General features: G+C 43.5%; 2 protein-coding genes across 19 annotated transcripts in view, besides 5 other annotated features; one reads left to right on the forward strand and one right to left on the reverse strand.

The window, feature by feature from the left end:
• ZNF106 (zinc finger protein 106) overlaps nucleotides 1-16428 on the reverse strand; it is a 78319-nt gene extending 61891 nt beyond the window's left edge. For all 11 annotated transcript variants that reach the window (NM_001381996.1, NM_001381997.1, NM_001366844.3 and 8 more), the window contains exon 1: nucleotides 16267-16428. The gene's annotated coding sequence lies outside the window, so the exon portion shown is untranslated. The remainder of the gene's footprint in view (nucleotides 1-16266) is intronic.
• Nucleotides 15901-16090: an enhancer, noted in NCBI's record as "active region_9301". NCBI's record gives its function as "activates an Ori minimal core promoter by ATAC-STARR-seq in GM12878 lymphoblastoid cells {active_cell/tissue: GM12878}" and the evidence as "EXISTENCE:reporter gene assay evidence [ECO:0000049][PMID:35858748]".
• Nucleotides 16141-16190: an enhancer, noted in NCBI's record as "active region_9302". NCBI's record gives its function as "activates an Ori minimal core promoter by ATAC-STARR-seq in GM12878 lymphoblastoid cells {active_cell/tissue: GM12878}" and the evidence as "EXISTENCE:reporter gene assay evidence [ECO:0000049][PMID:35858748]".
• Nucleotides 16416-23785, forward strand: part of SNAP23 (synaptosome associated protein 23) — a 41930-nt gene continuing 34560 nt past the window's right edge. For 3 of the 8 annotated variants that reach the window (XM_006720725.4, NM_003825.4, NM_130798.3), the window contains exon 1: nucleotides 20921-21000. The gene's annotated coding sequence lies outside the window, so the exon portion shown is untranslated. Of the gene's footprint in view, nucleotides 16858-18128; nucleotides 18233-20920; nucleotides 21001-23785 lie in introns of those variants that run through there. The other 5 variants (XM_047433203.1, XM_017022694.2, XM_047433202.1 and 2 more) reach the window with 5 other exon arrangements.
• Nucleotides 16491-16600: an enhancer, noted in NCBI's record as "active region_9303". NCBI's record gives its function as "activates an Ori minimal core promoter by ATAC-STARR-seq in GM12878 lymphoblastoid cells {active_cell/tissue: GM12878}" and the evidence as "EXISTENCE:reporter gene assay evidence [ECO:0000049][PMID:35858748]".
• Nucleotides 20594-21137: an enhancer, noted in NCBI's record as "H3K27ac hESC enhancer chr15:42787505-42788048 (GRCh37/hg19 assembly coordinates)". NCBI's record gives its function as "activates a minimal SCP1, AML or CMV promoter by ChIP-STARR-seq in primed H9 embryonic stem cells {active_cell/tissue: H9 hESC(primed)}" and the evidence as "EXISTENCE:reporter gene assay evidence [ECO:0000049][PMID:30033119]".
• Nucleotides 21138-21681: an enhancer, noted in NCBI's record as "H3K27ac hESC enhancer chr15:42788049-42788592 (GRCh37/hg19 assembly coordinates)". NCBI's record gives its function as "activates a minimal SCP1, AML or CMV promoter by ChIP-STARR-seq in primed H9 embryonic stem cells {active_cell/tissue: H9 hESC(primed)}" and the evidence as "EXISTENCE:reporter gene assay evidence [ECO:0000049][PMID:30033119]".

Below are 23785 nucleotides of genomic sequence, written 5' to 3' on the forward strand. Positions count from 1 at the left end.
GTACTTCCACCCTGGGTAAGAGTAAGGCTCTCTATAAAAAGAAAGAAAGAAAGAAAGAAAATACCAGGGGTTTAGATTAAGACTCAACAATGGTTTACTCTTTCATAATCCTCTGGCACTAGCACACTTTCCTCAAGTCCCTGCTAGAGATGCTCTATATGAAATTTTAAATCTACTCCCCAAGCAGCATTGTTCCTTCTTCTACAGAAAACATCAGGCTCTAATAGATCTGCTTCCTCATTTGGGGTACATTCCTTAGGAGATTTTAAAACTGTGACATAATGAGGTTACAAACTACCACAGTTTAATCTGTAACTCCTAGATAATATGGCAGAAGGACCAATGAAAGAGGCCTAAGGTTCTCCACTCCTGTGATTACTCGGCAGTTTTCTTGCCATGCAACCCACTTCATAATATTACTGAATGCCTAAATAATTTTATTCAATAATAAAGTTCAGGCCAGGCATGGTGGCTCATGCCTATAATCCCAGCACTTTGGGAGGCCGAGGTGGGTGGATAACTTGAGGTCAGGAGTTCAAGACCAGCCTGGCCAACATGTCTCTATTAAAAATACAAAAATTAGCTGGGTATGGTGGCACGTGCCTGTAATCCCAGCTACTCGGGAGGCTGAGGCAGGAGAATCGCTTGAACCCAGGAGGCAGAGGTTGCAGTGAGCCGAGATGACGCCCCTGCACTCTAGCCTGGGCGACACAGCGAGACTCTGTCTCAAAAAATAAAAATAAAAAATAAAATTCAAAACACTAAAGTAAGATTATCGGGTAAAAATATGGACATTTAAGAAAGCTGAATGTCAATTAGCTACCAAAACAAAGAAATATACCTTTGTGGATAGGTACAGTATTATTTATACTTTCCATATTACTAATAATCTCTTAAATCTCAAACAGAAATGTTAAGTGCTGTAGCATACTACTTCTAACTGCTTTATAATGTAACATCTACTTCAACTTTAATTACTACTTACATGCGTTATTTTGTTACTTCATTCAACAAACATTTATTGAGCACTAAGCACTATTCTAAGGGTTGGAGAAATTGGTAAAGATACGTCCAGAAATGTTTTAAATTGTGCTTCCAATTATTAACCACCAAAGCAAAACAGGAACAAGAAACTTAGAAGCAATAAAGTCAGTAAAAGAGTGTGACTCTCTGGTAGAAATTATAGCAGTTACTGTGGAGTTTTTATATATTTACTTGGTTGAAAACCAAGCACTAAAATACAAACTGTGCTTTTATTTGACAAAGCCAACAACATCAACCCCTAGCAAATGGATAAAAAAAATAAAGCCATACAATATAATAGAAATACTCTATATCAACCTTTTAACCAAAGTCTCCCTCTTTTTAGTTATTTTTTCCTTTCACAAGCTCATTTCTAATCTGCATGTATTAAGAATACTCATTTTCATTTTCTTAAAAAATCAAAATATAACTGCCAGCAAAGTATTCAATCGATAAGGAAGATTTAGTATTTAAACCCTGAGGTGACATGATTCCAGGCAAAGTAACTTTAGTTTATATATTCTTAAATTGGGTAAATACATAAATTCCATTAAGCTTTCTGAAATACTGTAATTAGCCCAGTCTTCTAGATGGGAACCACTGCTCTTTTTAAAGGCCCTGACAAAGACTAGAAGCCAAGGAAATACAAACCATCCAACTCTGTGATCTCAACCAAGGTGACTGAGAAGTGACAAACTAGAAGTAAGTAAATAAGGAATCCAAACCTACTGCCATCCTCACTTTAGTCACCTTACACTGGTTTTCACCATGTTGGCCAGCTGATCAAGAACTGACCTCAGGTGATCCACCAGCCTCGGCCTCCCAAAGTGCTGGGATTACAGGTGTGAGCCACCATGCCCAGCTTCATCTCATTGTTAACAGTACATTTAGTAATCTTTATCCATTTTGTATATATATATATATTCATAAAGTGGATCATCATAAAGGTCTTCATCCTCAGTCTTCACACTGAGTACACCGAGGAGGAAGCAGCGGAGGGGTTGGTCTTGCTGTCTCAGGGGTAGCAGAGGCAGAGAAAAATCTGTGTATAAGTGGACCTGCGAACCGCAAACCTGTGCGGTTCAAGGGTCAACTGTATACTTTCTCTTCCTTAAGATTTCCTTAATAATAATATCTTTTCTCTAGCTTACTTTAAGGATACAGTATACAACATATATAACATGCAAAATATGTGTTAATTAACTCATGTTATCAGTAAGGCTGCTAGTCAACAATAAACTATTAGTAGTTAAGTTTTTGGGGGAGTCAAAAGCTATAGATGGATTACTGACTTCACAGGGTATCGGTGCCCCCAACCCTTGAGCTGTTCAAAGGTCAACTGTATTTTTCTTTATCAGTCTATCTATGGGTTTGTTAATATTATTAATCTTTTCAAAGACCAGTTTTGTCTATTTTCTTTTTCTATTTCTTAATTTCTACTGCTGTCTTTATTACCTTTCATTTAACATACATTGGGTTTATTTTGTTCTTCATTTACTAGCTTCTTAAGGTAGAACTTGAGGTCAAGTCTTTAGGCCTTTTTTCTTTTCCAATAAATATATTTAAACCCATAAACTTCTCTGTAAGCACTGCTTCACTGGCATCCCACATTTTTTAGTACTTTTTAATAAACATTTTATTTTAGAATTGTTTTAGATTTATAGAAAAGTGGCAAAGATAGAGATAGTATAGTTTCCATATACCCCACCTCTAGTTTCCCATATTAACATCTTTCATTTGGCCACGTCAGTAGCTCACGTCTGTAATCCCAGCACTTTGGGAGGATGGCTTGAAGCCAGGAATTCAAGACTAGGCTGATCAACACAGCAAAATTCGTGTATCCACAAAAAAATTAAAAATTATCCAGGTTGCTCAGGTGTGGTGGCTCATGCCTGTAATCCCAACACTTTGGGAGGCTGAGGCAGGTGGATCACCTGAGGTCAGGAGTTCCAAGACCAGCGTGACCAACATGGTGAAACCCCATCTCTACTAAAAAGAAAAAAATTAGCTGGGCTTGATGGCAAGCACCTGTAATCCCAGCTACTCGGGAGGCTGAGGCAGGAGAGTCACTTGAACCTGAGAGGTGGAGGTTGCAGTAAGCCAAAATCGGGCCACTGCACTCCAGCCTGAGCAACAAGAGTGAAACTCAGCCTCAAAAAAAACAAAAAAAAACAAACAAAAAAAACTTACATTAGTGTGTTACATTTGTCACAATTAACAAACCAATATTGATACACTGTTATTTATTTATTTATTTATTTGAGACAGAGTCTCACTCTGTTGCCCAGGCTGGAGTGCAGTGGTGCTATCTCAGCTCACTGCAACCTCTGTAACCTCCACCTGAAACTACGTCTCAAAAAAAAAGACAAAAATCTTACATCAGAATGTTACATTTGTCACAATTAACAAACCAATATTGATACATTGTTATTTATTTTATTTTTTGAGACAGAGTCTCACTCTGTTGTCCAGGCTGGAATGCAATGGCACAATCTTGGCTCACTGCAACCTCTGCCTCCTGGGTTCAAGGAATTCTCCTGCCACAGCCTCCCAAGTAGCTGGGACTACAGGCACCCGCCACCATGCCCCGCTAATTTTTGTATTTTTAGTAGAGATGGAGTTTCACCATATTGGCCAGGTTGGTCTCAAACTCCTGACCTTGTGATCCACCTGCCTCGGCCTCCCAAAGTGTTGGGATTACAGGCATGAGCCACTGTGCCCAGCCTGATACACTGTTATTATGGAAGCCATATTTTATTCAGATGTCCTCTTTTTCTTTTTTTTTTTTTTTTTTTTTGAGACACAGTCTTGCTCTGTCTCCCAGGCAGGAGTGCAGTGGCATGATCTCAGCTCACGGCAACCTCCGCCTCCCAGGTTCAAGCAATTCTCCTGCCTCAGCCTCCCGAGTAGCTTTACAGGCACCTGCCACCACGCCCAGCTAACTTTTGTGTTTTTAGTAGAGACGGGGTTTCACCATGTTGGCCAGGCTGGTCTGGAACTCCTGACCTCAGGCTATCTGCCCTCCTTGGCCTCTGAAAGTGCTGGGATTACAGGTGTGAGCCACCATGCCCAGCCCAGATGTCCTCATTCTTTACCTCCTACCTTTTTTCTCTTCCAGCATGTCACAGAGGATACCACATTACATTTAGTCATCATTTCTCCTTTGGCTCCCCTTGGCCATGACAGTTATCCCACAAATTTTGATGTCGTATTTTCATTATCATTCAGTTCAAAGTACTTTCTAATTTCTCTTGTGATTTCTTCTTTGACTCACAGATTATTTGGAAGATTCACTGAATTTACAAATACTTGTGGCCTTTTACACATCTTGGTTTCTAATTTAATCTTATTAAGAGGCTAGGAGCTACGACTCACGTCTATAATCCCAGTACTTTGGGAGGCCGAGGTGGGTGGATCACCTGAGGTCAGGAGTTCAAGACCAGCCTGGCCAACATGGTGAAACCCCGTCTCTACTAAAAACACAAAAATTAGCTGGGCATGGTGGTGGGCACCTGTAATCCCAGCTATTTGGGAGGTTGAGGCAGGAGAATCGCTTGAACCCAGGAGGCAGAGGTTGCGGTGAGCTGAGATCATGCCACTGCACTCCAGCCTAGCCTACAAGATCGAAACTGTCTCAAAAAAAAATTAATAATAATTTTATTACAGTCAAAGAACACATACTATATTATTTTAATCCTTTCAACTATACTGAGAATTACAGCCCAGCATCTGGTTTATATATACACTTGGGGAAAAAAAGTATATTCTGCAGTTGTTGTGTGGAAATCATTTATATTGATGTTTTTTTTAAAGACAGGGTCTCGGCCAGGCACAATGGCTCAGGCCTGTAATCCTAGCACTTTGGGAGGCCAAGGCGGGCAGATCACCAGAGGTCAGGAGTTTGAGACCAGCATGGCCAACATGGCAAAACCCCATCTCTACTAATAATATAAAAATTAGCCTGGTGTGGTGGCAGGAGCCTATAATCCCAGCTACTCGGGAGGCTGAGGCAGGAGAATCGCTTGAACCCGGGGAGTAGAGGTTGCAGTGAGCTGAGATAGCGCCACTTCATTCCAGCCTCAGCAAAAGGGCAAAACTCCGTCTCAATAAATAAATAAATAAAAATAAATAAAGACACAGTCCCACTCTGTCACCCAGGCTGGAGTGCCATGACACAAACATGGCTCACTGCAGCCTCAACCTTCTAGGTTCAAGCAATCTTTCCTACATCAGCCTCCCAAGTAGCTAGGACCATGGGCACATGCCACCACGCTGGGCTAATGGTCTTATTTTGAACAGATTGGGTCTCTTCATGTTGGCCAGGCTAGTCTTGAACTCCAGGGCTCAAGCAATCTTCCCACCTCGGCCTCCCAAAATCTATACTAATTTTTGTTGTTGTTATCACTGAAAGAAGAATGTTCAAATCTCTCTGACAGTGAATTGTCTATTTATTCCTTTAGTTGTATCCATTTTTGCTTCATGTATTTTGAAGCGCTGATATCAGGCACAAGCATAGTTATAACTGTTACATCTTTCTCATGAACTGACCTTTTATTGTTATGATATGATCCCTTTAACTCTGGTGATACTTTTTATATTGAAGTCTATTTTATCTGATATAAATATAACCACTCTAGGCTTCTTATGCTACTTTGTATGATCTTTTTCCATGCATTTGCTTTTAGCCATTTGTCTTTATGCATTAAATCAGTGTATATTTCATTAAAGTCAATGAAGTTATTAATATAGTTGAATTAGATCTACTATTTTATTATTTATAGCTCCTCTATTTTTGTTCAGTTATACCTGTTTCTGTCTTGTTTGGATTATTCACTTTAATTTTTCTACTAGTTTTTTTTTAGCAACACTTCTTTGCATGATTATATTTTCCCCCCAGTGGTTGCTTTTAGGAATTCCAACATATATCTTTACCATTATACTCTTTACTGTGTTAAAAAGTACCACTGGCCGGGCTTGGTGGCTCACGCCTGAAATCCTAGCACTTTGGGAGGCCAAGGCAGGAGGATCACCTGAGGTCAGGAGTTTGAGACCAGCCTGGCCAACAAGGTGAAACCATGTCTCTACTGAAAATACAAAAATTAGCTGGGCGTGGTGGCAGGCACCTGTACTCCCAGCTACTTGGGAGGCTAAGGCAGGAGAATCACTTGAACCCAGGAGGCAGAGGTTGCAGTGAACAGAGATAGCGCCACTGCACTCCAGCCTGAATGACAAGAATGAAACTCTGTCTCAAAATAAAAAAAGTACCACTACAGGTAATATGTAAAAACCCTGCAACCATATAGGCCCATTTACCCTCACCCATCATCCCATGCTTTATGGGATATGTTTTATATCTACCATAAGAAATGAACCCCCAAGATGATGCTTTTTTGTGCTATAGTAATTTTTTTTAAGAAATGAAAAAGAAAGTTTTAAAATATCTACCCAGATATTTACAAGTTCTAACCTTCATTGTTTTCTGAAGATTCAACTTTCCATCTGGTATCATTTCCCTACAGCCTGAAGAACTTCTTTTAGCATTTCTTATAGTGCAGATCTACTAGCAATGAATTATCTGACAATGTCTTTATTTCATATTCTTTCTGTTTTTTTTTTTGTTGTTTTTTTTTTTTTTTTTTGAGACAGAGTCTTGCTCTGTCACCCAGGCTGGAGTGCAGTGTTGCCACCTCAGCTCACTGTAACCTCCACCTCCTGGGTTCAAGCGATTCTCCCGCTTCAGCCTCCCAAGTACCTGGGATTACAGGCACCAGCTAATCATGCCTGGCTAATTTTTTTTATTTTTAGTAGAGATGGGGTTTCACCATGTTGGCCAGGCTGGTCTCAAACTCCTGACCTCTGGTCATCACCCGCATCAACCTCCCAAAGTGTTGGGATTACAGGAGTGAGCCACTACACCCGGTCCCATATTCTTTCTTGAAGGCTATTCTGCTGAATCTGAAATTCTGGGCTGACATGTTTTTTCCTTCAGCATTTTAAAGATTCTCTATTCGCTTCTGACCTCCACTGTTTCTGATGATTCGTCAGTGGTAAACAGAATTCTCTCCCTGTATCTAATGTGTTGTTTTCTTTGCTGTTTTCTAGATTTTTCCTTTTGTCTGTCAATAGTTTAACTATAAGGCACCCACCAAATTTGGGAAATTTTCAGCCATTAAATTTTTAAATATATTTTTCTTCCTCATTGTTTTTCTTCTCCCTCCCAGATTTCAATTAAATGTGCTAGGTTTTTAAAATATTGATCCCAGGTCACTGAGGATGTATTTCTTTTTCCCTCCCACTCTTCCTTCAACTTTAATTTCAAGGATGCTTTCCTCTGTCATCTCCATTCTTCCATTAAGCCCCATCCAGTTTAAATTTTTATTTCAGATATCATATTTTTCAGTTCTAGAATGTCTATTTAGTTATCTTAGTTTCACACTCATTCTTTATGAATACATTTTCCTTTATATCATTTTTATTTCCTTTACTAATGCATAGTTATAAAAGTTTAAAATCATTTCCTGCTAATCCCAACGTTTAAGCATTTTAAGGTCACTCTCTAGAGTGTCATTTAGCTTGAGAATAGGTTACATTTTCCTGTTTCTTTGTATATGAGTAGTTTTGGAATATATCCTGGATATTTTGAATGTTATATTACAGCAACTCTGGAGTCCTTTATATTCCTCCAAAGAGTATTGACTTTTGTTTTTTTACTTTTGTTTTCATAGTATCTAACTTGGTTAACTCAAACTACAAATCTGTCTCTTAGGCAGTAGATGAAATCTCCAGTTTTTTTTTTTTTTTTTTTTTTTTGAGATGGAGTCTCACTCTGTCACCCAGGCTGGAGTGCAGTGGCACGATCTCAGCTCACTGCAAGCTCCTCCTCCCGGGTTCAAGCAATTCTCCTGCCTCAGCCTCCTGAGTAGCTGGGATTACAGGCATGTGCCACCACACCTGGCTAATTTTTTTGTATTTTTAGTAGAGACGGGGTTTCACCATATTGGCCAGGCTGGTCCTGAACTCCTGACCTTGTGATCCACCCACCTCGACCTCCCAAAGTGCTAGGATTACAGGCGTGAGCCACCGCGCCCGGCAAAATCCTCAGTTATTTCATCCTCAGCTGGGCTTCTTTGGAGTCTGCTCCACATATGCATAATTCAGCAGTCTGCCAAGGTTTGGGCAGAGTTTATTCACAGAGTCTGATGCTTCTCCTCTCTCTCTGCTTTCCAGGATTCTCCTCTCACTTCCCAACAGCTGTAGTTGCTTGAGCTTTATCTTCTGGTTCTTCAGGCCACAAAGACTAAAGTTTACTATTGGAATTTTAAGCACCCTACATGACATAGATCAGGGCCTGCCCTAAAGTTAGAAGCCATGAAAATGGGAAATTACTCCAAGTAGTCCCATTCTTGTGTTAACTCCCCGCTAGAATCTGCCTGGTTTTTTTGTAACTCTCCAGTAGATTTTACTGGTTTTATGTATTTCCATCCAGATGTAATAATAGTTGTTATCTGTGGGGGCATTGGCCAGGAGGAGCTTACTCAGCCTATGACCAGAACAGGACTCTCATGTTTGCACTTTTGAGAGCCACCAGCCTCTTCGAATGGCTCCAAGCAATGCTCAAGCGGGACAGACTGATCAAAGAAGACATATCCTCCATCATGCGATGGAGTAGGAGGCCCTAGGTTTAGTGACAAAGTCTGCTGGGACCTGGGTGACTCCTGAATAGCAGCTGTTCATGAGGTGGCTCGGCATTCCAGCCTACCTCAATTTTACGGTGCCTCCATCTAAACATACACATACATGGTTTGCTCAACCATACACTGAAAAAACTATTCTCATGCATGCTTATGTTTTATGCCTTTGTCCCTCACTATTAAAAGCCCTTCAAAGGCATCTAATTATGTAAGATATAAATCAAAATATTTAAAAGGTCTTACAAGGCCCGCTTGACACAACCCTTGCTAATGTGTATTACATAGGTTTGAGCTACTTTCTTGTTGATCTCTGTGATCAGACAAAATGACATTTTCAGTTCTTCCCACCTACCACACTCCTCCCACCTTAGGGCTTTTTCATATGCTGGTCCCTCTCCCTGGAAAGCTCTTACTCCTTTTCATCTAGTTAATTACTCATCCTTCAAATCTCAGTCCAAATGTCAGTTGCCTAGGAAAGCACTCCCTCATCTCCCAGACTAGGTCATACCCCTCACTGTGCACTGCTCTTCTGAAACCCTATCTCTTCTTTATAACACTTATCCCAATTGTGGCTATTTCTGAGGCACACTGTAGAGCAGCAATTCTCAATCACATCAGACCCAACTTTTTTCCTAAAACATATCATTGTGGAAATTTTCATTCATACATAAAAATAGAAGGCTTATTATAACAATCCCCAGTGTTCTGATCAGCCAGCTTCCCCAATTGTCACCATACAATTTTTTCTTTAAAGATATTTTGTACCCCCTTTTGTTGTAAATATTTTGTAATAACCTTCTTATCCTTCCTGAAATAAAATGCAGAGCTACTGTAACTTACTTACACATGTAAAACTTCAAATATCAATTAATGTGCTAACTATAATAAAAATGAAAAATTAAAGGAAAGTGAGTTATAAAGTAACATGTATATCAACATATAAATGCTCAGACATGACTATATTAGAAGAATAAAACTATAAATATGACTACTACAAAATCAGACTAATATAGACAGGCATGTGATATTGTTGATAAAAAATACCATGAATAGGATAGGCATGGCGGCTCACGCCTGTAATCCCAGTACTTTGGGAGGCTGAGGCAGTTCAAGACCAGCCTGGCCAACATAGTGAAATACCATCTCTACTAAACACAAAAATTAGCCAGGCGTGGTGATGCGTGCCCGTAGTCCCACATACTCAGGAAGCTTACGCACGAGAATTGCTTGAACCTGGGAGGCAGAGGTTGCAGTGAGCCAAGATCATGCCACTGTACTCCAGCCTGGGTGACAGAGTGAGACTCTGTCTCAAAACAAACACAAACAGCATTGCTGTCTGCAATATAATTTCCCAAAATAGTGACCAACTCAATAATCTTTCTGAACTAAAGAAAGCACAGTCCCTTGATTTACACATTAACTATGCTTCAGGCAAAAAATACTCTGTGTTGACCAGGCGCGGTAGCTCACGCCTGTAATCCCAGCACCTGGGAAGCGGAGGCGGGCGGATCGGTAGAGTCCAGGAGTTCAAGACCAGTCTGGCCAACATGGCAAAACCCCGTTTCTACAAAAAAAAAATTAGCTGGGCTTGCATGCCTGTAATCCCAGCTACTCAGGTGGCTGAGACACAAGAATCACTTGAACCCAGGAGGCAGAGGTTGCAGTGAGCCAAGACCATGCCACTGCACTCCAGCCTGGGGGGTCAGAGTGAGACCTTACCTCAGAAAAACAACAACAACAAAAAAAATACTGTATGTTTATGTTAAACAAATTTGGTTTGAGGCTCAGATAATTATAAACAGATTTTTCACCTACATGAACATCTTCTGGGACATTAGAAAGTGATGCAAGGTTTATGTGTTCTCACCACAAAAACTTATAAGTAATACATATGTTAATTAGTTTCATCTAGCTATTCCACAAGGTACAGCAGGTCCTCAAAAAATGCTGTTTCATTCAATATCATGCTGTTACAACATTAATGAGAAAAAATAAATTACTTCCAGCTGAGGCCACTGTCCATGAAGACTTCGTATGTTCTCCTTATTCCTTCATGGGTTTCTTCCAGGTCTCCAGTTTCCTCCCACACCCCGAAGTAAGTGCCTGATAGGTGAACAGGGTGTCTAAACAGTCCCAGTCTCAGTGAGTGTGGGTGTGTGTGTGTGAGTACACCCTGGGATGGAATGGCGTCCTGTCCAGGGTTGGTTTCTACCTTGTAACCTTAGCTGCTTAGGATAGGCTCTGACCACCTGAACACTGAACTGGAATAAAGACGTTGGAAAATAAAAGAGTGGATAAATAAAAATTATTATAAAATAAAAATGTGTGACGTATGCACAACAATAAACAATGTGGTACGAAAGCACCCACCTGTCATATTTGTTGATTTTTAACCACATGGTAGTAGCCAGTGCTCCTTAAAATTTTCACTTTGGAAATATTTATTCCTTGATTTAGCCCACCACCAGTGGGACTGTGGTCACCCATTGATTTGCCAAAAATTAGGCAAATATCCTGTTTTTATTACTCTTTCTTTTTTTTTTTTTTTTGAGACGGAGTCTCGCTCTGTCGCCAGGCTGGAGTGTGGTGGCATGATCTGAGCTCACTGCAACCTCCACCTCCCGGGTTCAATCGATTCTCCTGCCTCAGCCTCCCGAGTAGCTGGGACTACAGGCGCATGTACCACCACACCCAGCTAACTTTTGTATTTTTTAGTAGAGATAGAGTTTCACTATGTTGACCAGGATGGCTAGATCCCTTGACCTCGTGATCCGCCCACCTCAGCCTCCCAAAGTGCTGGGACTACAGGCGTGAGCCACCGCGCCCAGCCCTTCTTTTTTTTTTCTTCCAGAGACAGGGGTTTGTTCTATCACCTGGGGTAGAGTGCAGGGGCATGATCATAGCTCACTGCAGCTTTGAACTCCTGGGCTCAAGTGATCCTTCCACCTCAGCCTCCCAAGTAGCTGGGATTACAGGTATACGCTACTATACTTGGTCAATTTTTAAAATTTTTTGTAGAGACAGGGTCTCGCTTTGAAGCCCAGGCTGATCTTGAACTCCCAGTTTCAAGTGTCCTCCACCTTGGCCTCCCAAAGTGCTAGGATTACAGGTATGAGCCACCATGCCCAAGCTACTCTTTTTTACATCTACGTATAGCTCACATTTATTTCAATGTTTAGTATTAGAAGTGTTTGGGGTCTTCATTTAGAAGTTTGGTGATGTTCTTGTGACCAGAAATATGCCATAGGAACTTAACTCTTTTTTATATCAATTAACCTGTGGCAAAATTAGTTTTGTTATTATGCTGTTTTGCTTAGAGTCACAGTTTCCAAGATCCTATTGATGTTAAGTGAGGACTTGTTATATATATATATGTCAAGGCACCATATTGTACACAATAAATACATATATTTTATTGCCAATTAAAAAATTAATTTTTTTGGCCAGGCACAGTGGCTCACGCCTGTAATCCCAGCACTTTGGGAGGCTGAGGTGGGGGGATCACCAGGTCAGGCATTTGAGACCAGCCTGGCCAACATAGTGAAACCCCATCTCTACTAAAAATACAAAAAATTAGCCAGGCATGGTGGCAGGTGCCTGTAATCCCAGCTACTCGGGAGGCTGAGGCAGAAGAATCGCTTGAACCTGGGAGGCAGAGGTTGCAGTGAGCAGAGATCGTGCCATCGCACTCCAGCCTGGGCAACAAGAGTGAAACTCCATCTTTAAAAAAATAAAATAAAATAAAATAAAAAAGCTTATAGGGAAAATATGGCCTGGATGCAGTGGCAGCACACTTATAATCCTAGCACTTTGGGAGGCTGAGGCAACAGAATCACTTGAGGCCAGGAGTTCAACACCATTCTGGGTGACACAGTGAGACCTCCTCTTCACACACACAAAAAATTTATTAATTAGCTGGGCATGGTGGCACGCACCTGTAGTCCCAGCTACTAAGAAGGCTGAGGTGGGAAGAGGATTGCTGGGGCCAAGGAGTTTGAGGGTGTAGTGAGCCATGATCATGCCACTGTACTTCAGCCTAGGTGACTGAGCAAGACCCTGTCTCAAAAAAAAAAAAAAAAAAAAAAAAGCTTTTAGGAAAAACTATTACTACCCCCTCCTGTTTCCTAGCCACCGCCACTTCCAGTCAGCCACTCTTGTGAGTTTCTTATTTGTTTTCCAGAGATATTTTTCAATTTTTTTGCATGAAAATACAAAACATAAAATTTACCATCTTAACCATTTAAGTGTAGTTTAGTGGTATTAAATACATTCATAATGTTGTACAACCAACACTACCATCCGTCTCCATAACTACTTGCATCTTGCATAACTGAAACTTTATATCCATTAAACAATAACTCATTTCCCCCTCCCTCAACCCCTAGCAACCACCATTCTACTTTCTGTCTCTATGATTTTGACTATCCTCCACAGAGGATATTCTATGCATATATGGTTGTCCCTCGATATCCATGGGGGATTGGTTCCAGGATCCCCCTCAATACCAAAATCTGAGAATGTTAAAGACCCTTATATGAAATGGCACAGTATATGCATGTAACCTACACATACCTTCCGTATACTTTAAATCATCTCTAGATTACATGTAAGACCTAATACAATGCCTACACATAACTTCATTTATGTGGATGCAATGTAGTATGTACTCAGCACGTAGCAAATTCAAGTTTTGCTTTTCAGAAATTTGTGAATTTTTTTTCCCCAAATATTATCCATCCAAAGTTGGTAGAATCCATGGATGCAGAACCCATGGACGGATATGGAGGAACAATTGTATATGCAATACATAATATTTTTATAAAACCACAGTGGTTGCAAAATGCACACCCTCTTTTGCACCTTTTCTTTCTCACTATATGGGAGGTCACTCAATATTAGCACATATAGAGCTGGCTCATTCTTTCTAGCAAATTCATACATTTATTTAACCAATCCTTCACTGATGAAGACCTGGGAGCTTCTTGATAGTTTCTTTCAGATTAAAACATGCACAAACATGCACACACACACACACACTCGACTGTAGAGTTTCCACTAGTGATTTCACATGCTAGAGGTCCAAGTAGAGCATTCATATGTAACTTGTCTGCCCAGGTGCTCTTATTCATTGGGTACAGAAATTAATCCTAAACTCTCCACTAAGATACTCCCAATTACAAAACACACAATACATAGACTTCTCACTGAGCCATTCCTGGTCCCAGAACCAAGTCGTCTAGCATCTTCCATTCCTCTCAACTCTTGTAGAGCAGCCTTCAGACTACACGTGCACTAATCTAGATGTACAATAATCACTATTCATAGTCTTTCCTTTTTAAATATCTTCCTTTTAATCAAAACAATTGAGGCCGGGCACTGTGGCTCACACCTGTAATCCCAGCAATTTGGGAGGCTGAGGTGGGTGGATCACCTAAGGTCAGGAGTTCAAGACCAGCCCAGCCAACATGGTGAAACCCCGTCTCTATTAAAAATACAAAACGTTAGCCAGGCATGGTGGTGGGCACCTGTAATCCCAGCTACTCGGGAGGCTGAGGCAGGAGAATCACCTGAACCCAAGAAGCGGAGGTTGCAGTGAGCTGGGATTGCGCCACTGCACTCCAGCCTGGGCGACAAAGCAAGGCTCTCTCTAAAAAAAAAAAAAAACAACACACACACACACACACACACACAATAGGTTCTGAACTAGCCTGATCAGATTCGTTCACACCCTCTACCTCCTGCCAGGCCATTTTTTATTATTTTTTAATTTTTTTTTTTTGAGATGGAGTTTCGTTTTTGGAGTACAATGGCACAATCCTGGCTCACTGCAACCTCCGCCTCCCAGGTTCAAGCGATTCTCCTGCCTCAGCCTCCCAAGTAGCTGGAATTACAGGCATGTGCCATCATGCCCAGCTAATTTTGTATTTCTAGTAGAGACGGTGTTTCTCCATGTCGGTCAGCCTGGTCTCAAACTCCTGACCTCAGGTGATCCGCCCGCCTCGGCCTCCCAGAGTGCTGGGATTACAGGCGTGAGCCATCGCGCCTGGCCCCTTCCAGGCCATTTTAAAGTTCTCCTCGAAAACCATCTAGTATTTCTAATTAAAGGGCTCCTACTATCTTCTAGACTCAAGAGTTAACTCTAGGCATGGCGCGGTATTGGCAAATGTGTAGTAGATACTAAATAAATTCTAGTTGCATCTGAAAATTGTCTTTCATTATTTCATTCACGACCAAACTTGAGAACGGGGCTTAAAGCAAATTTTAAGATTTCCCATGCTATTTACAACAGTACTAAGCTCTTAATAAGCACTCAAAAGTTATCTGTGGGCCGGGCGTGGTGGCTCAAGCCTGTAATCCCAGCACTTTCAGAGGCCAAGGTGGGTGGATCACCTAAGGTCAGGAGTTGGAGACTAGCCTGGCCAACATGGTGAGACCTCGTCTCTACTAAAAATACAAAAATTAGCCGGGCGTGGTGGTGGTGCACGCCTGCAATCCCAGCTACTCGGGAGGCTGAGGCAGGAGAATCTCTTGAAACTGGAAGGCGGAGGTTGCAGTGAGCCAAGATCCCGCCACTGCACTCCAGCCTGGGCGAAAGAGCGAAACTCCGTCCTAAAAAAAATAATAATAATAAAAATAAATAAAAATACAAAAAATTAGCCAGGTATGGTGGTGGGTGCCTGTAATCCCAGCTACTGGGTAGGCTGAGGCAGGAGAATTGCTTGAATCCAGGAGGCGGAGGTTGCAGTGAGCTAAGATCGCGCCACTGCACCCCAGCCTGGCAACAAGAGCGAAACTTTGTCTCAAAAAAAAAAAAAGAAGTTATTTGTGCTTTGAATAAACTGGATATAAACCATTATGGTGGATACAGCACTTATTTGCTAGGTAAGAGAACTTCGCTTACCTAGGATGACAGTCTCAAGTTGCTAAAAGCCACGGATATCTCAAACTTCTCAATAAGATGCCTTAATCTTACTCTCAAAGATGATTACACAACAAATTGAAAGGGGAAGAGGATGTAAAGCATTTCCTCTCCACAATTATACACCGAGATTCGGACTAAATATTAAACGGACACAGTAAGCTGTTGTTACTATTTGTTATTAGTTGTTATTATCAAGACGCATCCCACAAGGAGAGAAACGAAAGGAGGAAAAAGAACGGAGGTTGTCAGTCGCGAGAGGTTGAAATGTGTCCCTGGCCTGAGACCTACGGGCTTTAAGGACCAGGGTCTTTGGACTCCCTGCCCAACTGGGGACGAAGGAGGTCAGTGGCTTCCCCTAAAGGTCAAGGCTTTGGAGCCACGTTTCCTTCTGGGGCTGGGAGCAGAGCTGGAACGCCCCCGCGAAAATCCGTACCCCGAAGCCAGCAGCACCGCCTGCCCATAAACCCGCGCCGGCTCTGGGAGAGTGGACCACCAGGTTGCCCCTGAGCCGCAGCCTGCAGGAGTAGAAACCCGGTGGTGTCTTGCAGCCCCACAACCTCCCTAAGGGGCAGACGACCAGGACCCTTGGGCTCCGATACGCTCAACGCAGGCCGGCCCGTCGATACTCACATTCACAGCCAACCCCTCTTACTCCATCAGGCCGCCGAGAGCCAGGCGAGGGAGCTCCCTGACGCCTCAGACGCCCCCTTCAGTTTTGGGTCCGGGAGCCTGCTCCGGACCCGCTCCCCGCCGGGCCCCGCCACAGCCGCCGCCAACGCGCAGGCGCACACCGAAGCCGTCACGCTCGCTTTTTTTTCCTTTGCCGTCCGCAGTTCTCAATAATCTAGCTTTATTTGAACACAAGAGAGTGAACAACGGACACACAGGAAGAGGTTTTTCTCAAAAAGAATGGAGGAAGAACAAAGGCAGGCCCGCTTGCGGGAGAGTCAGTACGCAGCGTTGGACGCTATGAACAGCCTCCCTGGTCCCTTTTTCATTCTCCTTGTTTCTCCTTGTTCTTTCCCGGCCTCCCTGTAGCTCCTACTCTCTTCCTTGGTGTCCCGCCATTTCCTTTAGTCAGTGGCAACTGTTCGGGCTACATTTTGAAAACACTCCTTCCTTGTAAAACTTTCTGAAGTTGAATGGAAGGTGCAAGAGCTTTAGAACAGCCAGACCTGAGTTTCAGATCTTGGACTAGCTACGAATAATTTGTGACTTTGGGTAAATTACAATTCTTCTTGGAACCTCAGGTTCTTGAGTTAAAATTAGGATAATGTTATCTCACAGGGTGTTGCTAGGATTAAATAACATAGGTCAAGTGTTTATCTATGAATGCTGCCTATCACAGAGCAGACATTCCATAATACTGACTTTATTCTTACTCATGCCTAAGGTATTTATAATATTTTTTAAGTAGAGACGGGGTTTCACCATGTTGCCCAGGCTGGTCTCAAACTCCTCGGCTCAAGTGATCTGCCTGCCTTGGCCTTCCAAAGTTCTGGGATTGCAGGTGTCAGCCACCGCGCCCAGCCTACATTTATTATTTATTTATTTAGTTAGTTAGTTAGTTAGTTATTTTGAGATGGAGTCTTGCTCTGTCGTTCAGGCTGTAGTGCAGAACCGCTCTCTTGGTTCACTGCAACCTCCACCTTCCGGGTTCAAGCGATAATCCTGCCTCAGCCTCCCAAGTAGCTGGAATTACAGACGTGCACTACCACGCCCAACTAATTTTTGTATTTTTAGTAGAGATGGGGTTTCGCCATATTGGCCAGGCAGGTCTCAAACTCCTGACTTCAAATGATCCGCCCACCTCGGCTTCCCTAAGTGCTGGTATTACAGGTGTGAGCCACCGCGCCCGGCCGCCTATATTTATTATTAAACTTAGCCCATACCCATTCCCTCAGAAACCTAATTTTAGTGACTAAGACTATCAGATAAATGAAATGACATTCAGGTTGATAATTATGTGGAGTGTCCCTCCTATATTATTGAGATTATAACATCTCTGTTTAACAAGACCTTCAACGTCTCAAATAAAAGTAAGCAGCGGTGGGGCACAGTGGCTCACGCCTGTAATCCCAGCACTTTGGGAGGACGAGGTGGGCAGATCATGAGGTCCAGAGATCGAGACCATCCTGGCCAACATGGTGAAACCCCTTCTCTACTAAAAACACAAAAATTAGCTGGGCGTGGTGGTGCGTGCCTGTAGTCCCAGCTACTCGGAAGGCTGAGGAAGGAGAATCGCTTGAACCCGGGAGTCGGAGGTTGCAGTGAGCCGAGACCTCGCCCCTGCACTCCAGCCTAGCGACAGAGCGAGACTGCGTCTCAAAAAAAAAAAAAAAAAAAAAAAGAGAGAGAAAAAAGAAAGGAAGCGGCTATATTAACCTCTTCTATGTAAATCCAGATTTGTTCTAGAGGTTTAGGAAACTTCCAATTCCGTGTTTGTGACATCACAAGTCCTTGAAACACTCAAGGGTTGTGGTACGCTGCTCATTCTATTCTCCTTCAAAGGCATGCAATGGAGGAACTATTTTACCCTATAAACTCTGGGCCATCATTCAGGGAAAAGCCTGTAGAAGACCACAGTCAGATATTGGTGAGTGCCAAGGTAACGCTAGATTATGGTTTCTCAACTTTGGGATTACTGACATTTTGGAACATATACTTTTTTGTCAGGGGTATCCTGTGCATTATAAGATGTTTAGCAGCAGACTGGGAGCAGTGGCTCACACATGTAATCCTATAACTTTGGGAGGTCAAGGGAGGCAGATCGCTTGAGTCCAGGAGTTTGAGACCAGCCTGGGTGACATGGTGAAACCGTGTCTCTACAAAAAATGCAGAAATTAGCCGGCAGTGGTGGTGCACACCTGTAGTCCCAGCTACTCAGGAGGCTGAGGTGGGAGGATTTGAGCTGCAAAGGTAGAGGTTGCAGTGAGCTGACATCACACCATTGCACTCCAGCCTGAGCAACAGAGCAAGACCTTCTCTCTCTCTCTCTCTCTCTCTATATATATATACATATATGTGTGTGCGTGTGTGTGTATGTATGTTTAGCAGCACTGTTGGACACGATGCTAGTAGTACCCACCCCCGTTTCCCTGTCATCACAATAAAGCATCTCCAGACATTGCCAAATATCCCCCGGAGGACAAAATCGTCCCTGGTTGAGAACCACGGAATTATATCAATGACCATCACAACCCTAAATGAACTAATGAACTCAACCATACATTTTCTCCACCTCTGCCCTCAACAAGTGACTGCTGCTTGAGAAATTTACACAGGAGGGCAGAAAATGGTGAGTTCATTTTTGCCCATATTAAAAAGGCCCTCAATATTGCTTACCAGTCCTACAACATTCTTCTGTCAACTTGTTGTATTACTTTCTACAATATTCCAAATCTTCTCAGCTTTCCTTTAAACTCCCAATACCACCTCCTTTTCTATCAGAAGATGACCCCATCTTCAACTTCACAGAGAAAACAAGTCAGCAAATGAGAACTTTAACTTCCTGTTACTAAACATACAGAAACATACTTCCTCTCATAATTGGGGAAATATCTCCTCTCTCTCTCTTTCTCCCTCCCTGCCCTCTTCCAAAACCATTATTCTTACCAGTGTTTCGAACTGCCTCTAAACTGCCTCTATTCTTACCCTTTCAAGATCTTTGCCTACTGACTATCCCTTCTCTTCCTTTATTCAACCATTTTTTTCTCAGTTGAATCTTCCCTACCATGCTCAAGTTTCTCCTGTCTTAATTCTAACAAAAATCAAAAAAACAAAAACAAAAAATCTTGATCCTTCATCATTCTCCCTCCTTCCTCCCTGTCAAGGCCAAACTTTCCAAAAGCATTCTACAACTTGTCCCCATCTCTACATCTCCCCCACCTCCAAACTACTAAGTTGTTTTTTTCAACCCCAGCATTCCAACAAACAGCTTTCACTGAGATAATCAGTGACCTCTGTGTTATGAAATTAAAAAAAACATTTCTCAGGCTTCATCTTCCTTGATCCCTTAGGAATAGACTACTTACTCCTTGAAGCACTTTTTTTTTTTTTTTTTGAGATGGAGTCTGGCACTGTCGCCAGTGATAGACATTATGATAGTAATGTAGCTGGGATTACAGACACCCGCCACCACACCCAGCTATTTTTTCTTTCTTTTTTTTTTTTTTTTGTAGGGGGGACGGAATTTCACTCTCGTTGCCCAGCCTGGAGTGCAATGGCATGATCTTGGCCCACTGCAACCTCCGCCTCCCAGGTTCAAGCGATTCTCCTGCCTCAGCCTCCCGACTAGCTGGGATTACAGGCGCCTGCCACCATGCCCGGCTAATTTTTTGTATTTTTAGTAGAGATGGGGTTTCTCTATGTTGGCCAGGCTGGTCTGGAACTCCTGACCTCGTGATCTGCCCGCTTCAGCCTCCCAAAGTGCTGGGATTGATTACAGGCGTGAGCCACTGTGCCTGGTGAAGCACTTTCTTTTCTTGATTTCCAGCAGTTTATTTTATTCTTAGAGGTGCATGGAGGGGTTCCTGCAGCAAATAGTTTACAATAATCCTCCATCTGCTTAAAACTCTTCAATAGCTTTCAGTGCCCCTAGTACAAAGTGGTCTAAAATTCCAAGGCCTTCCAAGATCTAGCGATTGTTGGCCTTCTAAAGCTTTCTTTCCTCTACACTCGGGGATGTACGATTAGCACTAAGCCTCTAACAAGGATGAACTACTAGAAATTTCCAGAAGGCGTTATGCTGTTCTCGACATAAGCTGTTCCCCAGAGCCTGGAAAACTCTAGCTCTTTCTCTGCCGGATTTCCGGGGGAACTCCTACTTATCCTTCATGACTCAAGTCACTTCCTCCGGGAACCCTTCCAGACACCCCTAAGAATAAAACGCTTTGTTCATTATCAGCCAAAGGCGCCTCAAATTTTCTATGTGCTATGCACTGTATTCTATCCACTATAATTTGTTTACATATCTATATCTTAGTCTAGACATATTGAAAGGCGATGAAGAGCAGGGAAAGCACTGTATTCGCTTTCTTTTCTTCAGCGTTCATCCAGCACAGTGCCTGGCATACGGTTTGCCCTCAGTAAATGTTTATTGCATGAACACCTCCCAGCTTCGGGCAGGACTGAAATCTATCCGGTTAACTAGTGAATTCCCAGACTCTCCGTCTGCGTGGCAGGGACATTTAAACCCCCAGCACCGTGATTGGCTCCAGCTGCAGGGGTGTGTCTGTGTCCGCGGCGAACGGGAAGTGAGCAGGCGCGCGGGCTCGGCGCGCGCAGGCGCGACTAGGGTGCAGCGCCAGGTCCGGTGTTGGGGTGTCCGAGTTGCCGCCGGAGAGGAGTGGCCTCGCCCGCTTGGTGAGTCTCCAGGAGTGGGACGGAGGGAGCTGGCCGGGATGAAGTCTGAGACTATGTCCTGAGAAGAAAGAGTGTATCGTATTGGTTGAAAAGTTGGTGGGGTCGGGCTTAAGCGGAGGAGGGGGCTCTCTGGCCCTTACTCGGCAGATGGGCCCGGAGAGAGGACGGGAGGTGCCGGGAGAACATCGAGGGACCAGTGGAGGAAGGGTAGCTGGATGGTAATTCTCTGGACCCTTCCTCGAAATTAAACAGAGATCACTTTCCGCCCCTCACCCTTACTGTGTTGCTGTAGTTGACATTAATAGACTGCCTGTATGGTGACCACAGTGATCAGATAGCTCTGAGATAATGGCTTGAGGAAGGACTCTGAGGTTCCTGGTATTGGATAGCCCTTGCTCTCTAGAAAGGTTCAGCCTTACCTCGCGGCATTACTGCACAAATTAGAGGATCAGGAAAAGAATGAATTTCACAATTCGGGATTGGAGTGGTGGGGGGAAAAAGTACTGTAAAGTGTAGTTTCATCTCGTCCTTTTTTTCTTCTTTAATCAGTCACCACAATGTTAGGAAAGGCAGTTGATGGTAGGAGGAAACGTAAAGACATAAAAGTGGGAGAGGAAAAAAAAGTCAAGAAGGGAGTATCATTTTGCCTTTTGCTATTTGTCATCTCCTGGAATGGGGTCTGTATTAGTGCGTTCTCACACTGCTATAAAGAAGTACCCAAGGCCGGGCTTGGTGGCTAACGCCTGTAATCCCAGCACTTTGGGAGGTCGAGGAGAGAGGATCATATGAGATCAGGAGTTCGAGACCAGCCTGGCCAACATGATGAAATCCCATCTCTACTAAAAATACAAAAATTAGCCAGGCGTGGTGGTATATGCTTGTAATCCCAGCTACTCCGGAGGCTGAGGCAGGAGAATCACTTGAACCTGGGAAACAGAGGTTGCAGTGAACCGAGATCGTGCCACTGAGCTTCAGCCTGGGAGACAGAGTCAGGCTCCAACTCAAAAAAAAACAAAAAGCAAAAGAAATACTCGAGACTGGGTAATTTATAAAGGAAGGAAGTTTAATTGACTCTCAGTTCTGCATGGCTGGGGAGGCCTCAGGAAACTTATAATCATGGTGGAAAGCAAAGGAGAAGCCAAGCACCTTCTTCACAGGATGGCAGGAGAGAGACAGTGAAGGGGAAAAAGCCCCTTATAAAACCAGTATCATGAGAACAGCATGGGGGAAACCACCCCCATAATCCAATCACCTCTCACCAGATTCGAGATGAGATTATGAATAGCCAAACTGTATCATTCTGCCCCTGGCCCCTTTCTTTCTTTCTTTCTTTTTTTTTTTTTTTGAGATGGAGTCTCACACTCTGTCACCCAGGCTGGAGTGCAGTGGCGCGATCTTGGCTTACTACAACCTCCAACACTTCAAGCGATTCTCCTCCCTCACACTCCTGAGTAGCTGAGACTACAAATGTGTGCCACCAAACCTGGCTAATTTTTTTTTTTTTTTTTTTTTTGAGATGGGGTCTTGCTCTGTCGCTCAGGCTGGAGTGCAGTGGCGCGATCTTGGCTCACTGCGACCTCCGCCTCCCAGGGTCAAGCAATTCTTCTGCCTCAACGTCCCAAGTAGCTGGGATTACAGGCACCTGCCACCAGGCCTGGCTAATTTTTGTATTTTTAGTAGAGATGGGGTTTTGCCATGTTGGCCAGGCTGGTCTCAAACTCCTGACCTCAGGTTATCCACCGGCCTCCGCCTCCCAAAGTGCTGGGATTACAGGCGTGAGCCACCGCGCCTGGCTAATTTTTGCATTTTTTAGTAGAGACGGGGTTTCACTCTATTGGCCAGGCTGGTCTCAAACGCCTGACCTCATGATCCACCCACCTCATCTTCCCAAGGTGCTGGGATTACAGGCATGAGCCACCACGCCCAGATTCCCTGGCCCCTTTCAAATCTCATGTCCTCACAGTTCAAAACACAATCATGCCTTCCCAACAGGCCTCCAAAATCTTAACTCATTCCAGTATTAACCCAAAAGTCCAAGTCCAAAGTCTCATCTGAGACAAGGCAAGTCCCTTTTGCCTAGGAGCCTGTAAAATCAAAAGCAAGTTAGTTACTTCTAAAGATGCTATGGGGGAATAGGCATTGGTAAATGCTCCCATTCCAAATGGGAGAAATTGGCCAAAACAAAGGGGCTACCGGCCCTATGCAAGTCCAAAATCCAGTGGGACAGCCATTACGTCTTAAAACTTATTTTAATCTCCTTAGACTCCATGTCTCACATCTAGGGCACGCTGATGCCAAGGGTGGGCTCCCAAGGCCTTGAGCAGTTCTGACCCTGTGGCTTTGCAGGGTTCAGGCCCAGAGGCTGCTCTGCTGGGCTGGCATTGAGTGCCTGAGGCTTTTCCAGGTTCATAGTGCAAGCTGTTTGTAGACCTGCCATTCTGGAGTCTGGAGAATGGTGGCCCTCTTCTCACAGCTCCACTAGGCAGTGCCCCAGTGGGGATTCTGGGGGGTGGGCGGTGTCCAATCCCACGTTTCCTTTCTGCAGTGCCCTAGCAGAGGTTCTCCATGAGGTCTCTTCCACTGCAGCAGACTTTGGCCTGGACATCCAGGCATTTCCGTACATCCTCTGAAATCTAGACAGAGGTTCCCAAACCTCAATTCTTGACTTCTGTGCACCTGCAGGCCCAGCTACCACGTGGAAGCTACCAAGGTTTGGGGCTTGCACCCTCTGAAGCAACAGCCCAAGCTGTACCTTGACCCCTTTTAGCCAGGAGCTGGAGCAGCT

Source organism: Homo sapiens, chromosome 15 (genome assembly GCF_000001405.40).
Source record: "Homo sapiens chromosome 15, GRCh38.p14 Primary Assembly".
NCBI classification, from domain to species: Eukaryota; Metazoa; Chordata; class Mammalia; order Primates; family Hominidae; genus Homo; species Homo sapiens.